Here is a 23,953-nt window from a genome sequence, read left to right on the forward strand (position 1 = left end):
ACTAACACCTGTGTGCTCTGTAGCTCTTTGATTAGCCCAAAACAATAAACAGAAGCTGTAGCTTTAATATCTACACACAGACCCCACTGCACCCCAGGCCCACTGTGGGCATGGTGGCATCGAGGAGGGTGGTAGCTGGTTGGGTATAGAGAGGAGCTAGACAGGAATGCTGGGCAGGAATGCCAGGGTCTGCTCAGGGGCATGAACAAAACTGCCCCGAAAAGTGGGTTGCTGACTGCCCTCAGGCCTTCCTCTTGCCTCAATCCATGAGAGAATTTTCTGAGGTCAGATCTTCGACTTTTTATGTGGAAAACAAATAGCAAGTAGTACTACTTCTAGTTATGTTGTAAAATAAAAGTTTTTTTTTTTTTTTTACATTTTTTTTTGAGAGAGTTTCGCTCTTGTTCCCCACTGGAGTGCAATGGTGCAATCTCGGCTCACTGCAGCCTCTGCCTCCCAGGTTCATGTGATTCTCCTGCCTCAGCCTCCTGAGTAGCTGGGATTACAGGCACCCGCCACCACGCCCCACTAATTTTTGTATTTTTAGTAGAGATGGGGTTTCACCATGTTGGCCAGGCTGGTCTTGAACTGCTGACCCCAGGTGATCCGCCCACCTTGGCCTCCCAAAGTGCTGGGATTACAGGCATGAGTCACCGCGCCTGGCCAAAATAAAAGTTTTTAACACGTGCTTTTGTAAAGTGAAGCACTAGCCTACCACTGAAATGACATCAGCACTTTGGACCAATATGTTTTATAAAAACAAAGCTTGAGTTCCATTGATGCAGAGGCTCTTTTTGTCCTTTGGTGGCCTCTGTGTAGGTTTTGTTTCCTGTGGAGTTCCAGGTTTGATATCATACTTCTTAAACAAGCCAGTGAGACATTTTTCCTGGGGAATGGTCTCACTCCTGGAGGAAAAAATTTTTAAGACTATTGCTCTTGAATAGCCCTGAAGCAGCAGAAACAGATCTGCATTTGTTTCTTCCCTCCCTCCCTCCTTCCCTCCCTCCCTCCCTCCCTCTTTCTCTCTCTCTCTCTCTCTATATATATATATATAGTCTTATTTTTGTAAGACACAAAGAATACTCAAACCCCAAATACTCTTGAGCCTGTTCTTGTCTGAATGTTTTATAGCCTGTACCTTAGCCATTGGTAACTCTTGGGAAGATACAATCAATAAATCTCATTTAATTCTAAAGCTAAGCTGCGTGGGTAACTTCTTTTTAGTTATATAACAGAGTGTTATATGATTTTTTATGTTCACCTGCTAAGAACATATACGTTTGAAATGTGTGATATTGTTAACGTTTTTCCTTGAGAAGATATATGGAATAGATCTTACGATCCCATTTTGATCTGTTTCTTGCAGAATGCAGTTCTTCATGTTCAGTTCAATTAAAAGATGTTTGAAATGGTCTAATCTGGCTGGCCTCTTTGGAGCAATGAGCGTTTGTTTTGTTGAATGAGGGACTGAATGATGATTTAGTTACTCAGCTAATCTAGTGTCCTGAGAAAATTGTGAGTTGTTATTGCCTCTGAAGAGTAAACGGTTCACTACTGCTGTTCCAGAATGTTTGGACTTAAGACAGTTTGTTGAGAGAGATAGAAGATTTGGTTAGGTTTAGACTTTCCACCTGCCGGCTCGCATTAACAGCAGTGAGGGTGGCGAGGACTGCCTTATTTGGCGCGCTCCCAATGTTCCAGGCACACTGCTTTGGTGCTTTAAGAGGCTGCTTCACGTAATCTCCCAAGCAGCCTCAGAGAGCAGAATTCTTCTTAGTCAGTAGATGAGGAAACAGAGACATAGAGAGGTCAGGTGAATTGTCCACCATCCCATAACTAGTAAGCCATTGAGTCCAGATTCCACCTGAGGGCCACCTGCCCTTGCCCACTCAGCTGCGTGGTCCTCTCCGTGCCTTCTTGAGTGTGTGCTCAGAAAAGTCCTGCTGGGTCCCTTGGAGGGGCAGGGTGTCTGCTTGTTGAGTAGGTAGAAGAAGATCCCTAGACATGACTGAAAGCCGTCTGGGTTTTGTGTGACAGCATCATTCCTATTTGAATTTCATCCAGAGGAGGTCATACGGATTTTAATGGTTTTATTGATTGATGTTTATGCTGTTCAGTGATAACCTGAAATGTTATATCATACTAAATGTTTCTTTAAACCAGAAAATCTTATTTATCATGTCTGTCCTTTCAAGCTTGGTGTCTATAATCCAGATTTTAAATCTGAAAAACAGGCACAAGGAGCATGGCGCCTGTACTGCAGTTCCAGTCAACCTGGTGGTAGCTCTTTTGATGCCATGTCTGTTTCTGAATTGTTAGGTCTTTTTAATGGTTTCTGCCTTTCCCTCTTACTGGTACTCTAGCTTTTCCTGAGGCAGAGATGTGTTGCCAGGTTGGGTTTCAATAGCAAAGCCTGATTCCTCTCTGTGAGTGGAAGAACGGGAGGGGAACAAGCATCATATTTGAGTAGACTTTTAACGTCACACTGCTTTTTTTTTCTTCCTTTTTTTCGAGACAGAGTCTCACTCTGTCACCCAGGCTGGAGTGCAGTGGTGCAATCTTGGCTCTTGGGTCACTGCACCCTCCACCTTCTGGGTTCAAGCAATTTTCATGCCTCAGCCTCCTAAGTAGCTAGAATTACAGGCACATGCCACCATGCCCACCTGGCTAATTTTTTTTTTAATAGAGATGGGTTTTGTCATGTTGGCCAGGCTGGGCTTGAACTCCTGACTTCAAGTGATCTGCCCCCTTGGCCTCTTAAAGTGCTGGGATTATAGGTGTGAGCCACTGCGCCCAGCCACATTACTTCATTCTTCAACCTTGAAAGTCACTTGATTTATTTTCCTTATTTATTGCTACAGTTTAAATAGGGGCTTCATTGGCTCCAGTTGCTGCGTTTCCTAATACTAAACAATCTGTTGGTTTTAGGATACCTTAACTTCATTTATTTATTTATGAATGAATGAATGAGATGGAGTCTCGCTCTAGCCCAGGCTGGAGTGCAATGGCACGATCTTGGCTCACTACAATCTCCACCTCCCGGGTTCAGGAGATTCTCCCTGTCTCAGCCTCCTGAGTAGCTGGGATTACAGGTGCCCGCCACCATGCCCAACTGATTTTTGTATTTTTAGTAGAGACGGGGTTTCACCATGTTGGCCAGGCTGTTCTGCAACTCCTGACCTCAGGTGATCTGCCCTCCTCGGCCTCCCAACGTGCTGGGATTACAGGCATGAGCCACTGCACCCAGCCTTATTTATTTATTTTTTAAGAGACAGATTTCACCATGTTGGTCAGGCTGGTCTTGAACTCCTGGCCTCAAGTGATCTGCCCACCTCGGCCTCCCAAAGTGCTGGGATTACATTTGTGAGCCACCACACCTGGCCAAGAATACCTTGTTAAATTTTTTAACCTGATAGTGTATTCAGGGTTTATGGCTCATTTAGTTTGAGAGTGTTAAGAGACTGGAGTTTTAATCCAATAGGTGTTTCTTTTGGTTCTCAGATATACATACAAGCTGTGATTGTTTAGATGTTTCCATCTTTTTATATATGCATATACATATTATTATTGTTGTTTTTTATTTTTAGGAACTGAAAGAAAATGGTGAATTGCTGCCTATACTGAGAGGAGAAAATTAATAAATCTTAAACTTGGTGCCCAACTATTGTAAGAAATATTTAATTACATTGGGAGCAGTTCATGATTTAGTCCTCAGAAATGGACTAGGAATAGAAAATTCCTGCTTTCTCAGTTACATGTTTTGTGTATTTCACAATGTCGTGCTAAATAAATGTATGTTACATTTTTTTCCCACCAAAAATAGAATGCAATAAACATCTTCAAATTATTAACAATAATTGTATGAAAAAAGTGTATCTTTACAGCAGTATTAAACATACAGCTACTATAATTAACCCACCTTAAATCTCTTTTTCTTAGTACATGAGTATCTTCTAGCAGTTAAGAAAGGCAGTCTTCAGAAAATGGAGAACTGTGGCGGAATGCAGTACACAACAGTATTTAGGACAACTCCTTTGCCAACACAATGGCTCCCCTCGCTGGTGAAAGATCTCTTTACAGCTTAGGAAAAACAACGGAAATTAGTTTCTGATGTCATTGCTGAGCTCGGCACTGGTTACATTGCAGAGGCAGTGTAGGATGTCTGCAGGTTTAGAGACTCATTTCACAAGGCACCAGTAGTGAATTATCAAGAAACATTTAAGAGGAAAATGATTTCTCATTGAATATGGTACAACAAGCACTTTTTTCATAAGGTCTAGAAGAATGGGTAGTCATGACAAAGAATGGAAAAGTATTGTCATTTGTTGTAAGCATCACTACTTTTTTTTTTTTTTCAGACGGGGTCTGGCTCTGTCACCCAGGCTGGAGTGCAGTGGCACGATTATGGCTCATTGCAGCCTCGACTTCTCGGGGCCAAGCGATCCTCCTGCCTCAGCCTTCTGAGTAGCTGGGACCACAGGCGTGCACCACCATGCCCACCTAATTTTTTATTTCTTGTAGAGATGAGGTCTCCTGCCTCAGCCTCCCAAAGTGCTGGAATTTACAGGTAGGACCACCACACTTGGTCCACTTACTTATAATAAACATTGATTTGGTCGTTCAGGTTCCTTTGGTCCTCCTATTGAGAACAGTTTGAAGTCCATGAAAATTTTAACAATATTTTTGATCCTGAATCTAACATATTTGAAAAATAGTTGCTCCACTAGGCTTCCACAGTGCAGGCTTCAAATGGGATGGCTAAATTCACCTCATGGTTCTTAGTTTTTTTTGTACTTGTGGCACATTCTCTTCATATATTACCCCACCCTGTTTGTTTGGGCAGTTAAGATGCTGGTACTGTCTGGTGGCGATAAGGAAAGGGAAACAGAAGTCAGTAATTCAGACAAGAATAAACAGGATGAAATGCATCTATTCCTAGGTAAGATTAGCCCACCACCTCCACACTGCTGCTGTCTCTTCAGCTCAGGCTGTTTTTCTCTGTTTTGATTGTGTAAAGAGTAGAGTGCTGATTTGTGTGTTACAGAGGGTGGTCTGTACAAGTCATAAAGCTCGACATGGCCTTGCTTCCTGCTAGGTGTTAGGACACCCATGATGGTGGAGTCTCTTGGCATTCTGTGTAATTAGATAAGGCTGTTTATAGCATTGGTCCATGAGAACTTCCTTGTTTCTATTTAAAATGAAAATCATTGTATAAGTAAAACTTCTTAAATGTAGATAGAAATAGAATTTTTACTGAAATTTTATGAAGCCATTGGCCGCAGGGATGTGTGTCATGGAGGAGGGCTCCATACTTTTTTGGTATACTTATCTCAAACTTAATTCATTTGCATACTGCTTTTTCTCTAAGTGCCAACTGTCCTAGTATATTTTCTAAGTCAACTTTTACTTTCACTTTATCCTAAGCAAGAATATCTTTGGCATCACAGACTCAGTAAGCCTGTTTTTTTCTAATGCACATACAAATAAATAAAATGCACAACTTTTAACATAAATGGCTGCCTCCAATTTGGGAAATACTGTTCTGGCCAGAGGCCGTTGCTCTGATAATGTCATGTGGTTAGTGCATTTTAGGAAGACCTCCTTTCCCTTTGGTTGACTCCTGCAGGACATAAGATATCAGTGACGTTATCCTTTGTTGAGCCATCCTGGTTTGAGTCAGGATGAGTGTTGAGAGTTTTTGGGGAGTTGCCCCTGTGTCCTATATTATTTTATCCTCTTAAAGTCTGATGGTCTTTGGCTCCACTGACTCCAGGTAAGTTGGGGTGACAGTGCAGCATATTTCTATTTTCTAGTTGTTTCTGGCCAGACATGGGGAAGGTCAAGACATCTTGTTCATGCAAACGGATTGATGGCCATTCCTAATCTGATTTTATTAGTGTATTTTAGGAAGTAAAGTAAGATTCTTGAGCCCAGCTGAACTTCCCCTATTGAATTTTCTAACAAAAAGAGAGTTTGCGTATGGGTTTATAATTGAGCCTGCTCTTGTAGAAATGTTTTATCAGAATTGAAATCCTCTCTGATCCCCAAATTCTAGAGACAAAGTTGTTTTCTGAATTTGAGAAATCTGTTCAGTTCACAAGGAAAGGTGACAATGTGTCATTTGGATGTTGTCCCACACGTGAGGCCTCGTTGGGTGCTTGTGGTGGGAGGGACCCTCCAGGCAGGCTTTGTATGGAGGGTTTTCATGTCTGGACACATTTCTGTTCCGAGAAGCACTGCTGCGTTTTTGGGAGCGTGGACCCTGGCCAGAGCCTGTGGCCAGCTCTGCCTGCCCTCCCTTTCTTGGCCTGCTCTTTTGAGTATGTAGTGGGGCTTTGTGTGGCATCCTGCCAGGTTAAAGCTGCATGGTGCTTAGGATAGAGCTGGTGCTGTGGGGAGGCTCTTGATGATGGGGGCTGCCATCTATTTGCCTGTTAACTCTTAGAAACCAAACCTCAAATGTCAGAATTTCCTTTCTAGAAGAGGCTGGTTGAATAGGAACCAGAAAGGCCCTCATACAGGCAGGGCTGTTCACTCCTCTTGACTTGCGTGTTTGTGCCTTCCTTGTAGGAAGGCTTCTTAGGGAATTGTTATCTGTTTAGGGGAAATAAGCCTGCAGGAATGAACTTTTTTTTAAAATAAAAACTCTTGATCAAAAATGGAAAGAAAAAAACCAGTGAAACAGGCTAGGTAGTTTGTGGAATTCTCCTTTGCAGGTGAGGGGAGAAAGCAGCTATCTCAAGGGCACAGCTACAGATTGGGAGCTGGGGCTTCCATCCAGGGTCTGGGACACCCAAACCTTAGGCTTGCCCCTCCCGGGAGGCCTCCCCCTCAGAGCTATGTGGGATGCAGTTGCCTTTTTACCTGTGATGAGAAACTGGTGAATTGCCAGGATTCTGGCTCTGGCTTCAGTCTGCCCCTTTCCGGGGATTAGAGGGCATTAACCCTACTTCCTACAGCCAAGCAGCTCTTCCTCATGACTCTACTTTCTAACTCCGGGGGTTGACTGATTGATTTGAAGACCGCCTTGTTGATGAATGTGTTGAAACTTGCTATCATAATGTAAATGCTCCTTAATAAAATAACAGGACCTGGTGGGTTCAGTTGCCTTGCCCACGTGTGACTTACATGTTTTTGCCTTTTTTTGTTGAACACTGAGCCTTGCAGAACCATCAGGAAGTCCACCTTGGTCCCACTGGATTGATCATTAAGAAGGAAGGAAAAAAGTTATTTGCCATTTCCGTTCTTTACAAAAATGTCTTAAGTCTGCTGAGGAGTAGACTAAAAAATAGCATGTTTTTATAATTAGAAAGCCTCATTTTAATAACTTAAAAATGTTTAATCTCTGAAACAACTGTAATACATTTTAAGCGCTTGGTAATCATTATCTGCCTTATTGGAAAGAATTATACAAATAAGACCTATCTTGACAGTCAAAAGTTACAAGCTTAAGATTGCAATATGAAACATGATTTCTGGTTTAGTTTTTAAAGTAAAATCAGCTTTCTTTTCCTTTGTTTTTTGAGACAGGGTCTCCTCTGTCACCCAGGCTGGAGTGCAGTGGTGCAGTCATGGCTCACGGCATCCTTGACCTCCCAGGCTCAAGATCCTCCCCCGTCAGCCTCCTCAGTAGCTGAGATGACAGGCATGTGCCACCATGCCCGGCTGTGTTTTGATTTTTTTTTTTTGTAGAGATGAAGTCTCACTATGTTGCCCAGGCTGGTCTCAATCTCCTGGGCTCAAGTGATCCTCCCACCTCAGCCTCCCAAAGTGTTGGGATTACAGGCCCTAGCCACCATGCCTGACCTAAGATCAGTTTTCTTAAATTTGACAGTTGCTACTTTTCAAAATTCAAACCTTTCTAAATAAAAGTAAGTTGATTATTTGCAGATGAATTCTTGTTTTATACACATTTCAGATGTTGAGTTTGAGGACCTAGACCCTTCCCTTTTTGTCTAGTCACATTTCCTCACGGCCGTCCACTGATCGTTGAATCAGCGTAAATATGGACAGTTTCTCTTGAGTCTTTGGGTCTTCATTTCTGAAGGCTCCTGTGTCACGTAAGACTTAAATAAATCTTACGCTTTTCTCTTGTTAATCTCTTTTGTTATAGGAGTGTCGGCTGTGCCCCTTGTGATGGGTGAGGAAAGGTATCCACCTTTCTGAATCAGACACAAGCTGCAGTAGCTTCCTGATGCCTCATTCACCAGGATGGGTAACTTTAAAGACAAGTTTTATAACTGGCATCCCATCTGGTTTCAGAGTCTTGGGGGCTTTTTTCATACAGCTTTGTCTGATATTTAGAGACATTCAGATTCAGAAGCCATGAGTTCAGTTAGCTCATGGGCCGGGCACGTGCACTGACTCACTGGCTGCAGCAGAACACGTTGAGGGAGTCTTGGTGCACTTAGGTCACTGTAAGGTTCTAGGGCTGGGAGCTGGGATTTGAACCAGGATCTGTCAGCGCAGCCCCAGTGCTGTGCTTGAAGCCTCGTGCCACACTGGCTTTGAGGTAGCACGCTGCAAGTTAGTGAGTGGAGTTGCCCAAGTCTGGGGCTTCTGAAATGACCTGGTATTTTTATGTTCCTGTTAGAAATGGTGTGGCTTTCACAAATTAAGTGCCAGGCTGGGCACAATGGCTCGTGCTTGTAATCCCAGCACTTTGGGAGGCGGAGGCAGGCGGGTTGCTTGAGCTCCGGAGCTTGAGACCAGCCTGAGCAACATGGCGAAACCTCATATCTACAAAAAATAAAAAATTAACTGGTCATGGTGGTGTGCACCTGTAGTCCCAGCTACTTGGGGAGCTGAGATGGGAGGATTGCTTGAGCCCAGGAGGTCAAGGCTGCAGTGATCGTGCCATTGCACCCCAGCTTGGGTGACAAAATAAGAGCCTGTCTCAGAAAAAAAAAAAAAAACAAAAAAACCTAATTGCCAGGACCCGCAAATTCTGACTGAAAAAGACCTTCTTGTTCTCCCCACGGTCATTCATCTAAATGGTTGTCAGTGGTACAGTGTTCATCTTTTCTCAAAAAGTCAAGTTTTATTTGAGGAAGTTACAGATTTCCATATGAACTCCTAGAGAGAGAGCCTGCCCTTGTTCAGGGTTGCCCGGGGGATGCCTGCCATGTGGTAAGGTAAGGGTTTCTCTGCCCCTCATCTCCCAGCCTGCTGTCCCCAGGAGCGAGTTCCTTAACCCCTAGCCGTGTCGTTGAGCCCAAGCTTGTAACCTGGATATGGGAGCTGTCTATTTAGGAAGAAGGCATGTGTGGTAATTTCTAAAAGAATTAAAATAGATTTTTATGCTCTTGTATTATGTTTTGTGCTTAAAAGGAAGAGCCCCGATATAATGGAGAAAAGCCAGAAGGAGCTTGGATGCCCTCAGAGAGCCCTGTCACCTGTCTGTAGGGGCAGAAAGGAGGATGCCTTTCCTCACCCATCACAAGGGGCACAGCCAACACCTAGAATAGATTACCAAGGAAAAGTATAAAATGTATGTAAAGACTTAGGTGACACAGGAGCCTTCAGAAATAAAAACCCAAGAGAAACTGCATGTTCACACTCAGATTCAACGAAGAGTGGGTGGCTGTGCAGAAATGTGATTGGACAGAAGGGAAGGATCTAATCGTAGACTGGATGGGGAAGCCTTGCCCCGTGTGTAGCTTTCTTCCTTCCAGGTACAGGGCAGGGCCCTTCTGGAATGAAGGTCTGGGATCCATTTTCAGATAAAGTAGTGTTGAGGATGTCTTTGTGGCCGGCTCCTGTAGTGGACCTCAGATCCGGGTGCTCGCCAGTTACAGAGTCCAGTTGACAAGAGCAAGGTCTGGTAGAAAGAAAGTGACTATTAACCAGAACTAGTCATGGGGATATGGCTGGATTCCCACCCAAAGTAACTACTTTGAATTCTGGAGAGAAGGCAAGGGTTTAAGAAGTGGGGAGTAGGAGCTTGAGCTGGGAGGCGCGCAGGGATCGTGCTGAGTACAATGTGTGTCTTGTTCCGGCGGCTGTCCTGGGCCTCCGTCCACCTGGAGTGCGGGCTGGTGTCATCTCAACAAGTGGCCAGATTTGACTGCTCACCTTGAGGTAAGCTCTGGGATTTTGCAGCTGGGTTTCCACGCTTGGTCTGTCTCAAGATTAGTCCCTAGAACTTCGAAGTAAGCACGTAATTAGAGACTAGCTCACAGACACATGTGAAGAGAGTATACGGTGAGAAAGGGGAGGGGTATGGAGTCTATTTTAAGATTAAGGGAAAAGGCTTCTGCAGTTTGCTCTAAGGTTGCATCTCAGGACTAAAGAGAAAGGAAAAAAAAGTCTAAAAATGCATTTTGAAGTTAAGCTGCTCAGTTACACTCCTACACAAAGGCCAGGGAAAGTTAGAGTCATATTTCTAGTTTTTTTTTTTTTTTTTTTTGAGACAGAGTTTTGCTCTTGTCCCCCAGGCTGGAGTGCAGTGGCGCGATCTCGGCTCACTGCAACCTCTGCCTCCTGGGTTCAAGCGATTCTCCTGCCTCAGCCTCCACAGTAGCTGGGATTACAGGCGTGTGCCACCATGCCCGGCTAGTTTTTGTATTTTTAGTAGAGACGGGGTTTCGGCATGTTGGCCAGGTGGGTCTCAAACTCCTGACCTCAAGTGATCCGCCTGCCTCAGCCTCCCAAGTGCTGGGATTACAGGCGTGAGCCACAGAGCCTGGCCGTATTTCTAGGTTTTATGGCTGGCCTCGCAGGAGAGGGGTTCTGGTTTCTATGACCTGCACTGGGGAAGAGGCATTCTACTTTCCGTGGCCTACCTTGAGGGGTGGTGGGGTGCGGGCAAGGGAAGGGGCCAGAGGGTCAGAGAGCCCTTGCCTCTGAGGCCCTTCCGGTGTCCTGCAGTTCCTCAGTGTGCCAAAACCACAGGCCTTGGGGTATCATTTTCTGAGCCCCAGCATATCCCTCTATTTTGCCCTTAGGTCTGGAGGAAGGTTCCAGGGCATTTGCCCTTGGTGGGTGCAGGTAGGGAGGATCTGCGGGTCTTCCTCATGCCAGGAGTCTTATCCCAGAATCAAAGGCTCCTGGTGGGTAGGAGCGTGTCCCATGTGCAGCACGCTTGGCTGTCCGAAGTTGCTGATGAGAAGCAGCATAGGATCTGGCAGGGACGGTCCTGAGTGGAGAGGCTGAGATGGGAGGTGGTGGCCCACGGTTAGCGGGCTGGATTTTCTGGGGCAGCCTCCATGCCAGCATTTTGTCTTCATCCCGGAACCCTGTGCACTGAGGTGCAGGAAGCGTGTGTAGTTTCACACACTTAAGTGTAAGAAAGCATGTTCCTGTTGAAAATAACACCCCGCTGGGCATGCTGTGGGGTGACGGCAGGTTTTTGCCCTCCTCCTGCAGCTAAGCACTGGAGCCCTGGGTTCCCATCGGGGCTGTGGCACTGTGCTGTTTCCCGGGCCACTGCCAGGGAAGGAGCCTCCTATATTGCTGGGCAGGGCCTGCGTGCAGGTCCAGGTTTATAAATTTTAGAGCTTGTTCAGAAAGCAGGCAAAAAGTGCTGTTGGAGGTGCTAAGATATAAAGGTTTTTCCCCGGGTGTGTATTATTTGCTACTTAATATTCTAAAGAAAAATTAGAACATTAAGTTATTAACATGAATGTTTCTGCTTTTCTTTGCACTGTGTAGTGGCAATTTCAAATGCAAATATAAGAGCATTTAACTTGTGTGTGGGATACTTGAGCTGGCCCATCTATGTCTATCTCAGCTTCTGCCAGGATGCTGGAGGCACTGCACAAAAGGAAATGCTCTTGATCCATGCACATTCCCTCAGCGAATGCTGCCTTAAGGCTAAGGTTACCATGAGAGAGAAGGAGCTGTGGGTTGCCCTCTCATTGCCTGCCTTCTGTGTCATCTTCAGTGTGAGTAGTTGGCTAGTACAGGCAAGAGACAAGGCAGAGAGGATATGATGGCTTCCTCCGTCATCCGTGTTTCTTAGAATGCAATTGCTCTCTTTCTGGGCTGGAAGCAAGTTCTCATGTGATTGGAAAGCGTGGTGCCAGGGCTGTCAGCTCCAGCTGTCCTGTCGTAGCTGGTTACATGCTGATGTTGCCCTCGCCTTGAGTCTTGTCACCTCCGATGCTGAGGCCCACTGGAACGCTGCTTCTGGCGCATCGCGAACCCTGCATGTTAGCCGGGTGGCAAGGAGTAGCCAGTTCTCTGCTCACCCACATGCTCTGTGGTGCCCCTGCACTAACAGCACGAGTTCAGATAAAATTATTAAGAATTTCGAGATGACGAAAGCAGAACGTGAAACTGAGTGTGGTCCTTCTGAGTGCAGGGCCCCATGGGACCGCACAGGTGGCAGGCCTGGAAGGCCAGCCCTGCTTCAAGGAGTGTGGCTGAAGGAGGTCGGGGAACTCAGGCCCTGACCCCAGGGTTCTCCTTTCCCGGAGATTCTGTTAAAGGGCCACTCACCTTAGCCATGATCTTCTTTGAACTTGCTCCGAACTGCTCGCTAGAGAAACACACACCCGGTCACCTGTGACCCCTTGTTCTAGGTGCATTCCTGCAGGGACATACTCTCCACCTGATGCTGAAACCACCACAGCAAACAGGTGCTGTCATGAATAGTTGACATGTATTAAGTCATTTAATTCTCACCACAACCCTATGAGGTAGGCATCTTCAGCCCCATTTGACAGATGGGGAAACTGAGGCATGGGTGAAGCACACTGCTCCTGGTCATAGTACCTGTTGGACCTGGGATTTGACTCTGGGCCTCCTGGCTGCAGTTTGCCCTCTTAACCCCTATGAGGTGTGAGGAGTCAGTGAATTGGCTCCTGTGGCTTGGGAGGGAGACATGTTCCTCTGGGTGTCCAGGGACAGCACTGGGTGCAGGGTGGAGTGCTGGGCTGTGGATGGGCCCATATTGGTCCTAATGGTAGGCAGAGAGGGTGAGGAGGTGCCCAGGACCGGCTTTGCCAGAAGGAGAGAGAACGCTGGCACCACAGGAGCAGCCCACCGTGAAGGCCATGCCCTGCCCGAAGCGCGGTGCCTATTTAGAACCCGAGGGCCCCCCAGCACGATGGCGTTTTGGGGGTTATTTTTGTTGGTGGGGAAACAAGCTCAGGAATTTGCCAAAGCTCTTATCCAAGGGGCGAGTGGCTCAGCCAGGGTTCATTACCAGGCTCCGGATCCTGCTTCTCCCGGATCACAGCAAGCGCTGTGCTTAGGCCTGGGGTGGGGGACGGATTCTCCCTGAAGGCAGGTCTGACGCGGGCGGGAGCACCCACCCCGCTGGGTTCTTACGGCGGATCCGTTACCTGGGTCTCCAGAGGGTGAGGTCGCCGTGGGCACCCTGGGAGCAGCAGTTCAGATAGAAATCCTCCCATGCCGTGTGCAAACACTAAGTTTTTTGTTTTGTTTTGTTTTGTTTTTTTTGAGACAGAGTCTCGCTCTGTCGCCCAGGCTGGAGTGCAGTGGCGCGATCTCGGCTTACCGGAAGCTCCGCCTCCCGGGTTCACGCCATTCTCCTGCCTCAGCCTCCCGAGTAGCTGAGACTACAGGCGCCCGCCACCACGCCCGGCTAATTTTTTGTATTTTCAGTAGAGACCGGGTTTCACCCTGTTAGCCAGGATGGTCTCGATTTTCTGACCTCGAGATCTGCCCGCCTCGGCCTCCCAAAGTGCTGGGATTACAGGCGTGAGCCACCGCGTCCGGCCGCAAATACTGGAAGTTTTAAGTCAAGCGAACAAACATTAAACTGTTCTGTCCTCTTACCTTGACAAATACACCTACCAGTGACCGGGAAGGCTGCCTTGTGAATTTAGAAAGTCCTGGGTCTTGGCAGCTTCAGGGGACAGATCGCCCCGCTCACGTTTGCCCCTCTTGCTTCCCACCCTGTTTCTGTCCCTTCCCCGGGGCCCTGGGGCACACAGGGGTGGGATCGGGGGTCCAGGCCGGGAAGGGCTGCTCAGGCTCCGGGCACGCACTCCTGGGGGCGGCCTGTGCACATCCCTTTTGGAGGGGTCTGCCCCACGCATCCGGGGAGGTACGCAGCCCCTGGTGCCAGGGTCCAGGTGGTGCTACTGGGGAGGGCGCGTGCAGGAACCAGCAGCCCTGGAACCAGACGCCAGGGTAGGAGCTGGTCACGAGCCCTGCCTGGCTGGGTCGGGTCCCTGTCCTGGGTCCCAGAGTGCCCTGGACGTTGGGGCTGCAGGGACACCCCGGGGCCAGCGACGGCAGGTGATGTCCAGGGCCCCGCGCCAACTGGGAGCTTTGCTGCCGCTGCGGCCTTGTGTGAATTTGGAGGGACAAGGCCGGGGCGCGAACTGAATCTACTGTCATATGCGGAGTCAATGCACCATCTCCAGGACCTCGAAAGCCTCAGTTTCCACGTATGCAAAACGGTCCATGGTGCCCTCGTACCCTGGTCGCTGCTGCACCATCGAGGTCAGCGCGCGGCAAGTCCCAGGTAGGCCACGTCGGCTGCAGACCTCGGCGGCGGGCGGTGGCGGCGCGTGTCCACGCGAGGGCGCTGCGCACCGCGCTTCAGCCCGACCTCGCCTTCTGCAGGGGCGGTCTCCTGGCGCCAGGGGGCGTGCGAGGACCGAGGAGAGCGCAAGAGTAAGCCCGCGGGTGCCGGAGCGCGCGCCCCGCCGTGTGCTGGGTCCAGGGCGCGCGGCCGGCCTGTCCGGGCCTCCTTCGCAGACGAAGCGGCTGGAACGTCTCGGGGGCGCGCCAAGCCGGGGGCGCATGCCTGCACACGTGTGCGGGGCTCACCTGGTGCTGCGGCCGGCTCGGGCGTTGCCTGCACGCACCGTGCTCTACCTGCGGGAGCGGAGTGGAGTCCGCGGTGCCTGCGTGGCCGGGGCAGGGCCCACAGGGTCCGGCTCAGAGCCCCGCCCCGCTGCCTGCGGCTGCCGAGCCTTTCCAAGCTCGAGGGGGCCGGGACCTTTGGGAAACCAGCGCCTGAGGCTTGGGGGCGGCCGTGCTGGGAGTGGCGGCTGCCGGGAAGCAGGGCGGATCCCTGGACACCTGGAGCCCTGCCCCCTCGTCCCCGGGGACCCGGGGGTCTGTCTGGTTGGGGTCCGAGCGGCCTCAGGGTGGGCGCTGCATCCTGGCCCGGGGTGCACGGTTGTGCGGGGGACACACTTGTCCCGTCCTGCCCGAGCTGCGACCTGGGCCAGAGAAGGGAGCGGAGCTGGCATAGCCCCAGCCCCAGCTCACTGGGGCGCCTTGCCCGCCTCCCCAAGCCTGGGCCGGCTTGGCCGCTGCAGCCACCGGGCCTGGGCCCCAGCACTCGAGCCGCAGGGCGTCGCAGGCCTGGCCTCGCTTCCCCAGAGTCGGCCCTCCCCAGGAATTTTTTGTTCCTTAGCCCTAGTGAACCTTCTGCGTCCCCTCGAAGAGGGGAGCCAAGGGACCTTGGGGACAGTTGAGGTTCGGGTTTTTAAAACACCAATAGGCTTTATTTTTAGAACAGTTCTACATTTACAGAAAAAATGAGCAGCTAGTCCGGAGTTCTTATTACAACCCCTGCTGCCTCCCCCCGTGAACATCTTGCACAGGCGACGTGCATTTGTTCTAATGAACGAACAAATAGTGACACGTTACTATTAGCTAGAGTCCATACAGCTGAGGTCCCCTTTCTGTCCCAGGATCCCACCGGGTCGCCGTCTGCTCACGCTCCTTGGCGGCAGCATTTCTCAGACTCTCCTTGTCTCTGGTGATCGTGACGGTGTGAGAGTATTTTGAAGGCTCTTTCTCGACTGGGGTTTTCTCATGGTCAGGTTGGGGCAGCGGTGTTTTGGGAGGAAGCCCGCAGAGGCAAGGCGCCGCCCCCCTCCCATCACATCGAGGCTACACGCTGCTGACACGCCTTCTGGCTGCGGCGCTGACCTTGGTCACCTCGCACGTCTCCACCCCAGTTCTGCTTTCTCCCTCCTTCTATAGGGTGTCGTTGGAAGTCCCTGTGTGCAGCCTACGCTGAATGAGTGTCCCTGAGGGGGAGGAGCCCATAAATTGCTGGGTTCTGCGTGGAGACTTCTGCATATTCATCTCTTTTCTCCATTTTTTTTTCTTTTGGAGACAGGGTCTCTCTCTGTCACCCAGGCTGGAGTGCAGTGGTGCGAACACAGCTCATTACAGCCTCGACCTTCTGGGCTCAAGCGATCCTCCCACCTCAGCCTCCCAAGTAGCTGGGACCACAGCCATCATCACACCTGGCTAATTTCTTTGTATTTTTTGTACAGACGGGGTTTTGCTATGTTGCCCAGGCTGGTCTTGAACTCCTGATCCTCCAACTTTGGCCTCACAAAATGCTGGGATTACAGACATGAGCCACTGCACACAGCCTTCTCTGCATTTACTCATCTATTTGATCATTCTGTCAGTGTAGACTCATAGGTATTATATAAGGGGTTAGGAGGGGTGTGGTTATAGGCTGCTGGTGTACACTTGGGCACTTGTTGTGTGTGTCCCTATGCTTGTCTGTGTTTGAAATGTTTCTAATGAAGTGAAATAAAGATGGGGTTAGGGCCGCCACTGAGGGGTGAACCAGGCTGGTAGACAGTCTCTTACCAGAGCCTGCCCCTGTGTCAGGGAGGGCTGGGTCTGGATTGGGCTGTGTTGGGCCTTTGTCCCTGCCTGGTGCCCTGTCTGTGCTAATGGCTATGGTCCTAACAGAGGCTCCTGGGGCCTAGGGGGTGGTTCCTGTTGGCCTCTAAAACCCGCCCTACTCAGTGACCGAGAGAGCAAGTTGGGACCCACTGGGACCGGGCCCTGCCCTTCAGGTGGCCCTGTGGCCTCTCCGAGTGCATGGCAGTAGAAGTGGTGGGGGACATTGCAACCTGCAAAGTGCTGGGCTGGAGGCCACTTGCTGAGCCACGCTGTTTCTGGCAGGGACTTTCTGACAGGGCTGATGTGTGTCCTGAAGGGACTCCTGCCTGCGTTTGGGGCTGTCCCTGAAGCGAGAGCACGGGGTGTCTGTGGGGGCTGGCTCCCCTCTCCTGAGCCCACCCCGGTCTCTGTGGATGGCTGCCGGCCTGGGTTGATGGATGTGGGCTCATTATCTTGTCTGTCTTAGGGGAAGGTATTAGCTTGGCAGTTCATAAAAGATTTTAATTAAAGAGGGAAGAATCATTTTGGCAAACTAGCCTTGTTCCCACACTCAAATGACCTGTCAAAGTTATAAGTTCGGTTAATTTCCACACAAAACCTTGCTATTTTGGGGGAATTCAGCTGGAGTCTGGGGCGACACAGCCCTGGGACTGGGCACCCTGGGTGGAAACCTGTTTCCCTCTCTCTTCTTGCCTGTGAAAGCCCCTGGCAGCCACCCTGTCCCTGCTTCTCCAAAGCCCCACTCTCTCTGCCCATCTGCCCACAGTCCCCATGGGTCCCAGTGTTACCCTTGACCCCTTTTCCACATGCCCTTCCCGCCCAGGTCCTGGTCTCCTGCAGAGCTGCCTCATCTCCAGGCATCCACGTAGACTGTTACATCCTCTTCTCCATGTGCCAGTGATGGGATGCTTAAAATACATTTTGAGAGAGTTATGGGCTCACAGGCAATGGCGAGGGATGGTACAGAGAGACCCTGTGTACCCTGCCCTGTTCCCCACAGCAGGAGAATCTTGCAAAATTGGAGTGCAGTAGCACAGCCGGGACATCCCACCAATACACCACGAGCCTTGTTCTGGCTTCAGTTTTTTGTGCACTGGTCTGTGTGTGTGGGCACGTTGAATTCTAGACAATTCCACCACAAGCACCCACAGCCAGATGCAGAACAGCCATCACCGAAGGCTCCCTCCTGCCCTTTCACCCACAGCCACCTTCCCTCCCACCCAGCTCTCCCGGGTCGGCGGGTGGGTCTTTTTAAACCACACCGCAGGTCACGCCTCCTGTAGCCTGCAGTGGCATCTCCCAGGCCTTCCCAGGCCTTCCCAGGCTGGGTCCGCAGGACTCCTCACCATGGCGGCAGAAGTGGCCCCTGAGTGACAGCAGGTGCACTTGCCCTGCCCGGCTGTCTCAGGACCTCCTCACCCCTGCCTGGATGCTGCCTAGCCCACCCCTTCCACTGCCTCCCTCACACTCCTCCCCCTCCCCCGCCCGCCTTCCCCCTATGCTCTCCCTCTGACTAAGGGAAGAGTTTCTCAGGAGCCTCGCTGCCCCTCTCTCTGTCTCTGTCTCTTTCTCTCTCTCAGTCTCTTTCTGTGTCTCTCTGTCTGTCTATATCTCTGCCTCAGTGTCTCTGTCTCTGTATCACACTGTTTCTGTCTATATATATCTCTGCCTCACTATCTCTCTGTCCCTTCATGCTACTAGGACGTCTGGCTGCCCTTTCCTCCCTCCTGCATCCCTGGCATGTGGAACGGTGCTCGATGACTCAGATCCCTGCTCCCTACCTTGGTCTTTCCTGAGCGTGCTCAGGGCTGTGCTTGGGGACAGGATGGGGACCTGTGGCTTCTCTCACCTCCTCTCCTGCCAATGCCTGCTGCCCTGCAGGCCCCTGGAGGTCCCAGGCTGGTGACTGGGCATGCAGACGATGGAGGAGCCCCCAGGGGTCCTCGAGGCACCCCCTGGAAAGTGGCCAGGTGTTGATTTGGGCCGAGCCGTGTGTGGGTCTCCTGTGGCCTGGCCACCAGCAGGGACAGAAATGGCAGGGTGATCACTGGCTGACCCAGAGATTTTGTTTCCACTGAGCCTTGGCCTTCGTTGACTGTTACCACTGGGCTTTGAGTCAGACGTGGCATGCTGCTAGAGAGCGAGAAAGAGCGAGAGTGAGAGAGAGAGAGGGAGGGGAGGGGAGGGGAAGGGAGAGGAGAGAAGGAGGGAGAGGGAGGAGGACGGGTGGTGGGGAGGAGGAGGTTCTGAATTCTCCCAGACCTCCCGGCCGGCACCTCCAGGCCAATGGAATATTTAGTTCTGAATCCTTCCCTGGTGCAGATTTCAAGTGAGGAGGGTGATCTGGGCCTTGTCCATCTCTGTCATCTCTCAGGTGTCTGGCAGGCTCGGCCCCTGGCTCCTGGCCATTGTGGGGGCACAGAAGGAGAAACAAGGACATCCCTCGGCCTCAGGGGCTGGCTAGACACAGGCAGGAGTGAAGATACACACGGCATGGAAAGGCAGCCGTGGCCCTTAGCGACAGTGGCGCTGGGAGCCTGGCTCCCTGGGGGCGGTTCAGAGATGAGCGAGAAGGAGCGGTGAGCTGGGAACGCAGTGCCCTCCAGGCCAGGGAGAGCTGGGGATGGGGCTGTGGAGGGGCTCTGCTGGGGTCCCTGAGTCACACCGGCTCCTCTGTGGCACTCCTTGGCTTCAGCACCCCCTCCCCACTCCCTCCTGGGTGCAGGATCCCCTCCTGCGGTGTCCCCTTGCTCCCCAGTGCTGGGTCCATGGAGGCTGCAGACACCGTCTGCTTGTGCATGTCCAACATCCATGCCGAGTCACTTGGTCACTCGGGGGACCCCACACAGCTGGCACCAGGGGCCTGCAGTGGATGGAGGTCCATCCATAGTAAGTATGGGGCTAGCCCTTGACCCCACAGTGACTGGGAGCCCCTCAGCTCCTGGGCAGGGTAGGGGTGATGGAAGTGGAAATGCTGCTGGAAATACATTGGCCTGGGCCGCTGCGGCAGGAGGAACTGTGCACGGCCGGAAACCCAGGTGCAGGCAGGCTATGTGGGTGGTGGCTGCTGGCCTGGGGACAGAGGCTTCAAGGACTGCAGTCGTAGTGACACGACACTGACATAGGTGGGACTGGCAGAAGAGGCCAGGTGGCCGGCTGGACCCGAGGGGTGGTCCTCGAAGCCATTTTTGGCCCAGGGTGCCGCGGGCCAGTGCCAGGAGCCCCACAGGCAGCTGCGTCCTGTTTGCATCAGATCCGAAGGATGGGAACAGGACAGGGAGCCAGGTTCCCATCGCCCATCAGGCCAGGCCTTCTCAGGAGCCCTCTGTGGCCTTCGTTAGGCTCCTATTACAAGGCTGCATATGGACAGGTGGGGCTTACCTGATTCTCGCAGCACAGATTCTATTTTTTGGAGCAGGGGAGCGGGCAGGCACCCTGCACAGCCCGGCCATTTAGTAAGACTCGCTTCTTTCTGGGTGTGCTGGGCGTTCACTATGCTTTCATGTCAATAGGAGAGTCACCGTCCCCACCCACTGTATCACGCACCCATTGCCACAGTAACAACAGTCAGAACCCCCACCCCAGTTCTCTGCTCCTGTCTGTTGCCAGCTGGGGCTTGTGGACTCTGCTTGGCGGGGCGCTCACACACGTGGGGTTGGCTGGGGGCTGGCTGCTCTGGGACAACCCCGGATTGACAGCTCAGCTGGGCTCCACTGGGCCTCTCATCCTCCCCACAGCTGGCCTGGGCTTGTCCTCAGGGAGCTCACAGAGTCCAAGATGGCAAGTAGATGTGTGTGAGCCCCTGGAGCCCAGACTGGAGCTAGTGCCATGCCCAGTGTCCAGGGGTTGGGAGAGGCTTCACCTCTTCATGGGGGCTGCAAAGGTGCATTGTGGAAGTGTCAGGCTGCAGGGAGAGAAGACTGGTGTCCACTCACCTTACCAGCACAGTTAAGCTGCGGGGAGATGACCGGCACTGGTGTGCATGTGTGTGTGTGTGTGGGTGCCCATGCATGTGCATGGGTGTGTAAACTCGTGGGTGCATGGATGTGTGTGCATGCGCATGGACACGTGCACAAGTGTGTTTATACATGTGTATGTGTTTGTGCATGTGTGCATGCATGTATGTGGGAAGACGCAAGCTCATTTCCAGTATCCTGCTGGTGACCCCCAGGACATCTTGTGGAGAGCCAGGATCTGAGCCCAGATGGGCGCCAGGGCAGGAGCTCTAAGCTTGGAGTCTCCAGCCTCCAACAGAGCGTGGACTGTCCCGGCTGCCTAGGAGAGACTCCAAGGATGCTCACACAGCACCTCAGCTGCAGAAGGTTGCAGGGAGCATGTTTGTGCAGCCTCTGCTCTGGAATGGCTGTCCTCCACTACAGGATCCTGTGGGCATCCATGGACACAGCAGGCCACAGTGTGGCACCAAGGCCTGAGCTCGCCTGCCACGGCCCGTGGTGGGCATCCAGCCTGGCCCCTGCCACCCCATGACCTGCGGGGCATCCCTGCTCTCCTGGTAGCAGCAGTACAGTGTGGGCTGAGCACCAGTCAGGTCTGACAGGCTGCCCCTCTCCAGGTGGAGGGGGTATTCCCTGTACCCCATATTCCCTGTCTGCCCCAAATCCTCTGGGTCAGCGGGAATCAGGGGTTTGATGGAGCATTCTTCTCTAGGCAGGGCCTCATCGCAGTGTGAGCAGAGAGAATCTTTCCTTTATTAGGATACAAACTGGGAGCTGATTTCTTCTACTGCTTGTGGCTGAGTCCCTTGACGTAAAAATTATTCTGTTGAAGGGGGATGATGCTGCTACCAGCGTCAACACTGACAACCATAACGGGGAATGATTTTCCAGCTCAATTGAGTAGGTATTCTGCAGAGTAGAAGCCACAGAGGAGCATGGCCTGGTAGGGGCATCACCTGGTGGAGGAGCATCGCCCGGTGGAGGAACATTGGCTGGTGAGGGAGCATCATCTGAGGGGGGAGCAGCACCTGGCAGGGGAGTATCATGTAGTGGAGGAGCATCACCTGGTGGAGGAACATCACCTGGGGGGGAGCATAACCTGGCGGGGGAGCATGACCTTGGGGGGAGCATCACCTGGGGAGGGAGCATGACCTTGGGGGGGTGAATCACTTGGGAGGGGAGCATAACCTTGGGGGGAGCATCACCTGGCGGGGAGCATCACCTGGGGGGGGAGCATAACCTTGGGGGGAGCATCACCTGGTAGGGAGCATGGCCTAGTGGGGAGCAGCACCTGGGGGGAGCATCACCTGGTAGGGAGCATGGCCTAGTGGGGAGCAGCACCTGGGGGGAGCAGCACCTGCTAGGGGAGCCTCACCTGGTGGGGGAGCATCATGTGGTGGGGGAGCATCACCTGGGGGGTAGCATAACCTTGGGGGGAGCATCGCCTGGGGGGGAGCATCACCTGGTGGGGGAGCATCACTTGGGGGGAGCATCACTTGTGGGGGAGCATCACCTGGGGGGTAGCATAACCTTGGGGGGAGCATCGCCTGGGGGGGAGCATCACCTGGTGGAGGAGCATCACCTGGGGGGAGCATCACTTGTGGGGGAGCATCGCCTGGGGGGTAGCATAACCTTGGGGGGAGCATCGCCTGGGGGGGAGCATCACCTGGGGGGGGAGCATCACCTGGGGGGGAGCATCACCTGGGGGGGAGCATCACTTGTGGGGGAGCATCACCTGGGGGGGAGCATCGCCTGGGGGGGAGCATCACCTGGTGGAGGAGCATCACCTGGGGGGAGCATCACTTGTGGGGGAGCATCACCTGGTGGGGAAGCATCACCTGGTGGAGGAGCATCAACTGGGGGGGAGCATCACCTGGCCAAGGTGCCAGATTCTGTGGCTGTCCTTTAAATCCAAGTGTAGTGGCATATCCTTCCCCCTAAGCACAAAAGTCAACAACATAGTGACAAGTTGCTCATTAAGAATTTTGTTGCAGGTTGGGCGTGGTCGCTCACACCTGTAATCCCAGCACTTTGGAAGGTTGAGGTGGGCAGATCACCTGAGGTCAGGAGTTCGAGACCAGCCTCGTCAACATAGTGAAAAACTGTCTCTACTAAAGTACAAAAATTAGCCAGGTGAGGTGGCATGCGCCTGTAATCCCAGCTACTTGGGAGGCTGAGGTAGGAGAATCGCTTGAACCCAGGAGGTGGAGGTTGCAGTGAGCCGAGATCACGCTACTGCACTCCAGCCTGGGCGACAGAGCAAGACTCTGTCTGGGAAAAAAAAAAAAAAAAAAGAATTTTGCTGAGAACGTGTTTGGCTACCTGTGCGAAAATGTGAGTAACTGATTTCAAATACAGCTAAAAATACAAGTTGTAAAAAAGACACCAAATTTTTGACCAGCAGAATTTTTTTTTCCCTCAGGAGCTCTTGGATCTCTTTGAGAAATGTATTCTGTTTCATCCTTAAGCTACAGATACGGAAAGAAAATGTCATCTAGAGGTTTCACAGCGCACCGGGATTTATTGTAGCAACGCCTTGCTTGCTAAAGAGGTGCTCAGTGAGATGATATTCCAGTAAAAAGCCCACTAAGTCTCAGTGAAATGTCTGAGTAGCAGAACGTTGAGGAAGCAATTTGGTTTCATTACTTGTAAGTGCACTGTGCATTACAGAGTCGGGTAGGCATGAGAAGCATGGGGCAAGTTAATGGAAATAGCCTTTTACTAGAGGGACACATTCCATGATGCTCTTTTCTTAAACATACATATAAAAATCTTATCACTCCTAAAACATCCTTTAGCTTTTAATCATGAGTTCCTAGAAGCCCAGGCTGCAACCAGGCACTGCTGCCCCAGGACCAGGTTCTGGGATGAGTGTGACTGCACGGTCTCCAGGTGACCCTGGCCGGCCCCTTCCTCTCACCACTGAAGGCCCTCCTTCTCCTGAAAGACTGTATCAAAAGCAGATGGTGGGCTGGGTGCGGTGGCTCACACCTGTAATCCCAGCACTTTGGGAGGCCGAGGCGGGTGGATCACCTGAGGTCAGGAGTTTGAGAACAGCCTGGCCAATGTGGCGAAATCCTGTTTCTACTAAAAATACAAAAATTAGCTGGGCGTGGTAGCAAGTGTCTATAATCCCAGCTCCTCAGGAGGCTGAGGCAGGAGAATCCCTTGAACCCGGGAGGCAGAGATTGCAGTGAGCCGAGATTGTGCCATTGCACTTTAGCCTGGGAGACAGAGGGAGACTCCGTCTCAGGAAAAAAAAAAAAAAAAAAAAAAAGCAGATGGTGGTTTCAGGTCTTAAAGCTTTGCTTGTAAAAGGCACTGGTTTTTAGCCTCAACTTCACTTAGAAGGGAGACTTTAGAGCTTTATAAAAATCCCACCCATGTCCAGAGGGACTTAGAAGGAGTCCCTG

At 51.5% G+C, this 23,953-nt stretch overlaps 2 protein-coding genes across 4 annotated transcripts in view, besides 4 other annotated features; both read left to right on the forward strand.

Annotated features, from left to right (window-relative positions):
- GLRX3 (glutaredoxin 3) overlaps positions 1-4,623 on the forward strand; it is a 43,987-nt gene extending 39,364 nt beyond the window's left edge. For 2 of the 3 annotated variants that reach the window (NM_001321980.2, NM_006541.5), the window contains one exon: positions 3,588-3,918. In NM_001321980.2, the coding sequence (NP_001308909.1) occupies positions 3,588-3,638 (51 nt within the window). In that variant the 3' untranslated portion in view covers positions 3,639-3,918. Of the gene's footprint in view, positions 1-3,587; positions 3,919-4,358 lie in introns of those variants that run through there. The other variant, NM_001199868.2, reaches the window with a different exon arrangement.
- Positions 4,359-23,570, forward strand: LOC124902561 (uncharacterized). The gene is made up of 2 exons (XM_047426136.1): positions 4,359-4,567; positions 8,114-23,570. Exon 2 carries the CDS (start codon positions 14,314-14,316, stop codon positions 15,469-15,471), a length of 1,158 nt encoding a protein of 385 aa, XP_047282092.1. The 5' UTR covers positions 4,359-4,567; positions 8,114-14,313; the 3' UTR covers positions 15,472-23,570.
- Positions 14,073-14,573: an enhancer, noted in NCBI's record as "H3K4me1 hESC enhancer chr10:131988091-131988591 (GRCh37/hg19 assembly coordinates)". NCBI's record gives its function as "activates a minimal SCP1, AML or CMV promoter by ChIP-STARR-seq in naive H9 embryonic stem cells {active_cell/tissue: H9 hESC(naive)}" and the evidence as "EXISTENCE:reporter gene assay evidence [ECO:0000049][PMID:30033119]".
- Positions 14,073-14,744: a biological region, named in NCBI's record as "H3K4me1 hESC enhancer GRCh37_chr10:131988091-131988591".
- Positions 14,415-14,744: a silencer, noted in NCBI's record as "silent region_2943". NCBI's record gives its function as "represses an Ori minimal core promoter by ATAC-STARR-seq in GM12878 lymphoblastoid cells {active_cell/tissue: GM12878}" and the evidence as "EXISTENCE:reporter gene assay evidence [ECO:0000049][PMID:35858748]".
- Positions 14,795-14,914: a silencer, noted in NCBI's record as "silent region_2944". NCBI's record gives its function as "represses an Ori minimal core promoter by ATAC-STARR-seq in GM12878 lymphoblastoid cells {active_cell/tissue: GM12878}" and the evidence as "EXISTENCE:reporter gene assay evidence [ECO:0000049][PMID:35858748]".
- Positions 23,571-23,953: the final 383 nt, after the last annotated feature.

Source organism: Homo sapiens, chromosome 10, assembly GCF_000001405.40.
Source record: "Homo sapiens chromosome 10, GRCh38.p14 Primary Assembly".
Classification (NCBI taxonomy): Eukaryota; Metazoa; Chordata; class Mammalia; order Primates; family Hominidae; genus Homo; species Homo sapiens.

Coding starts and splice junctions, on each gene's coding strand:
- LOC124902561 (XM_047426136.1), top strand. CDS start 14,314: ATGCGGAGTCAATGCACCATCTCCAGGACCTCGAAAGCCTCAGTTTCC.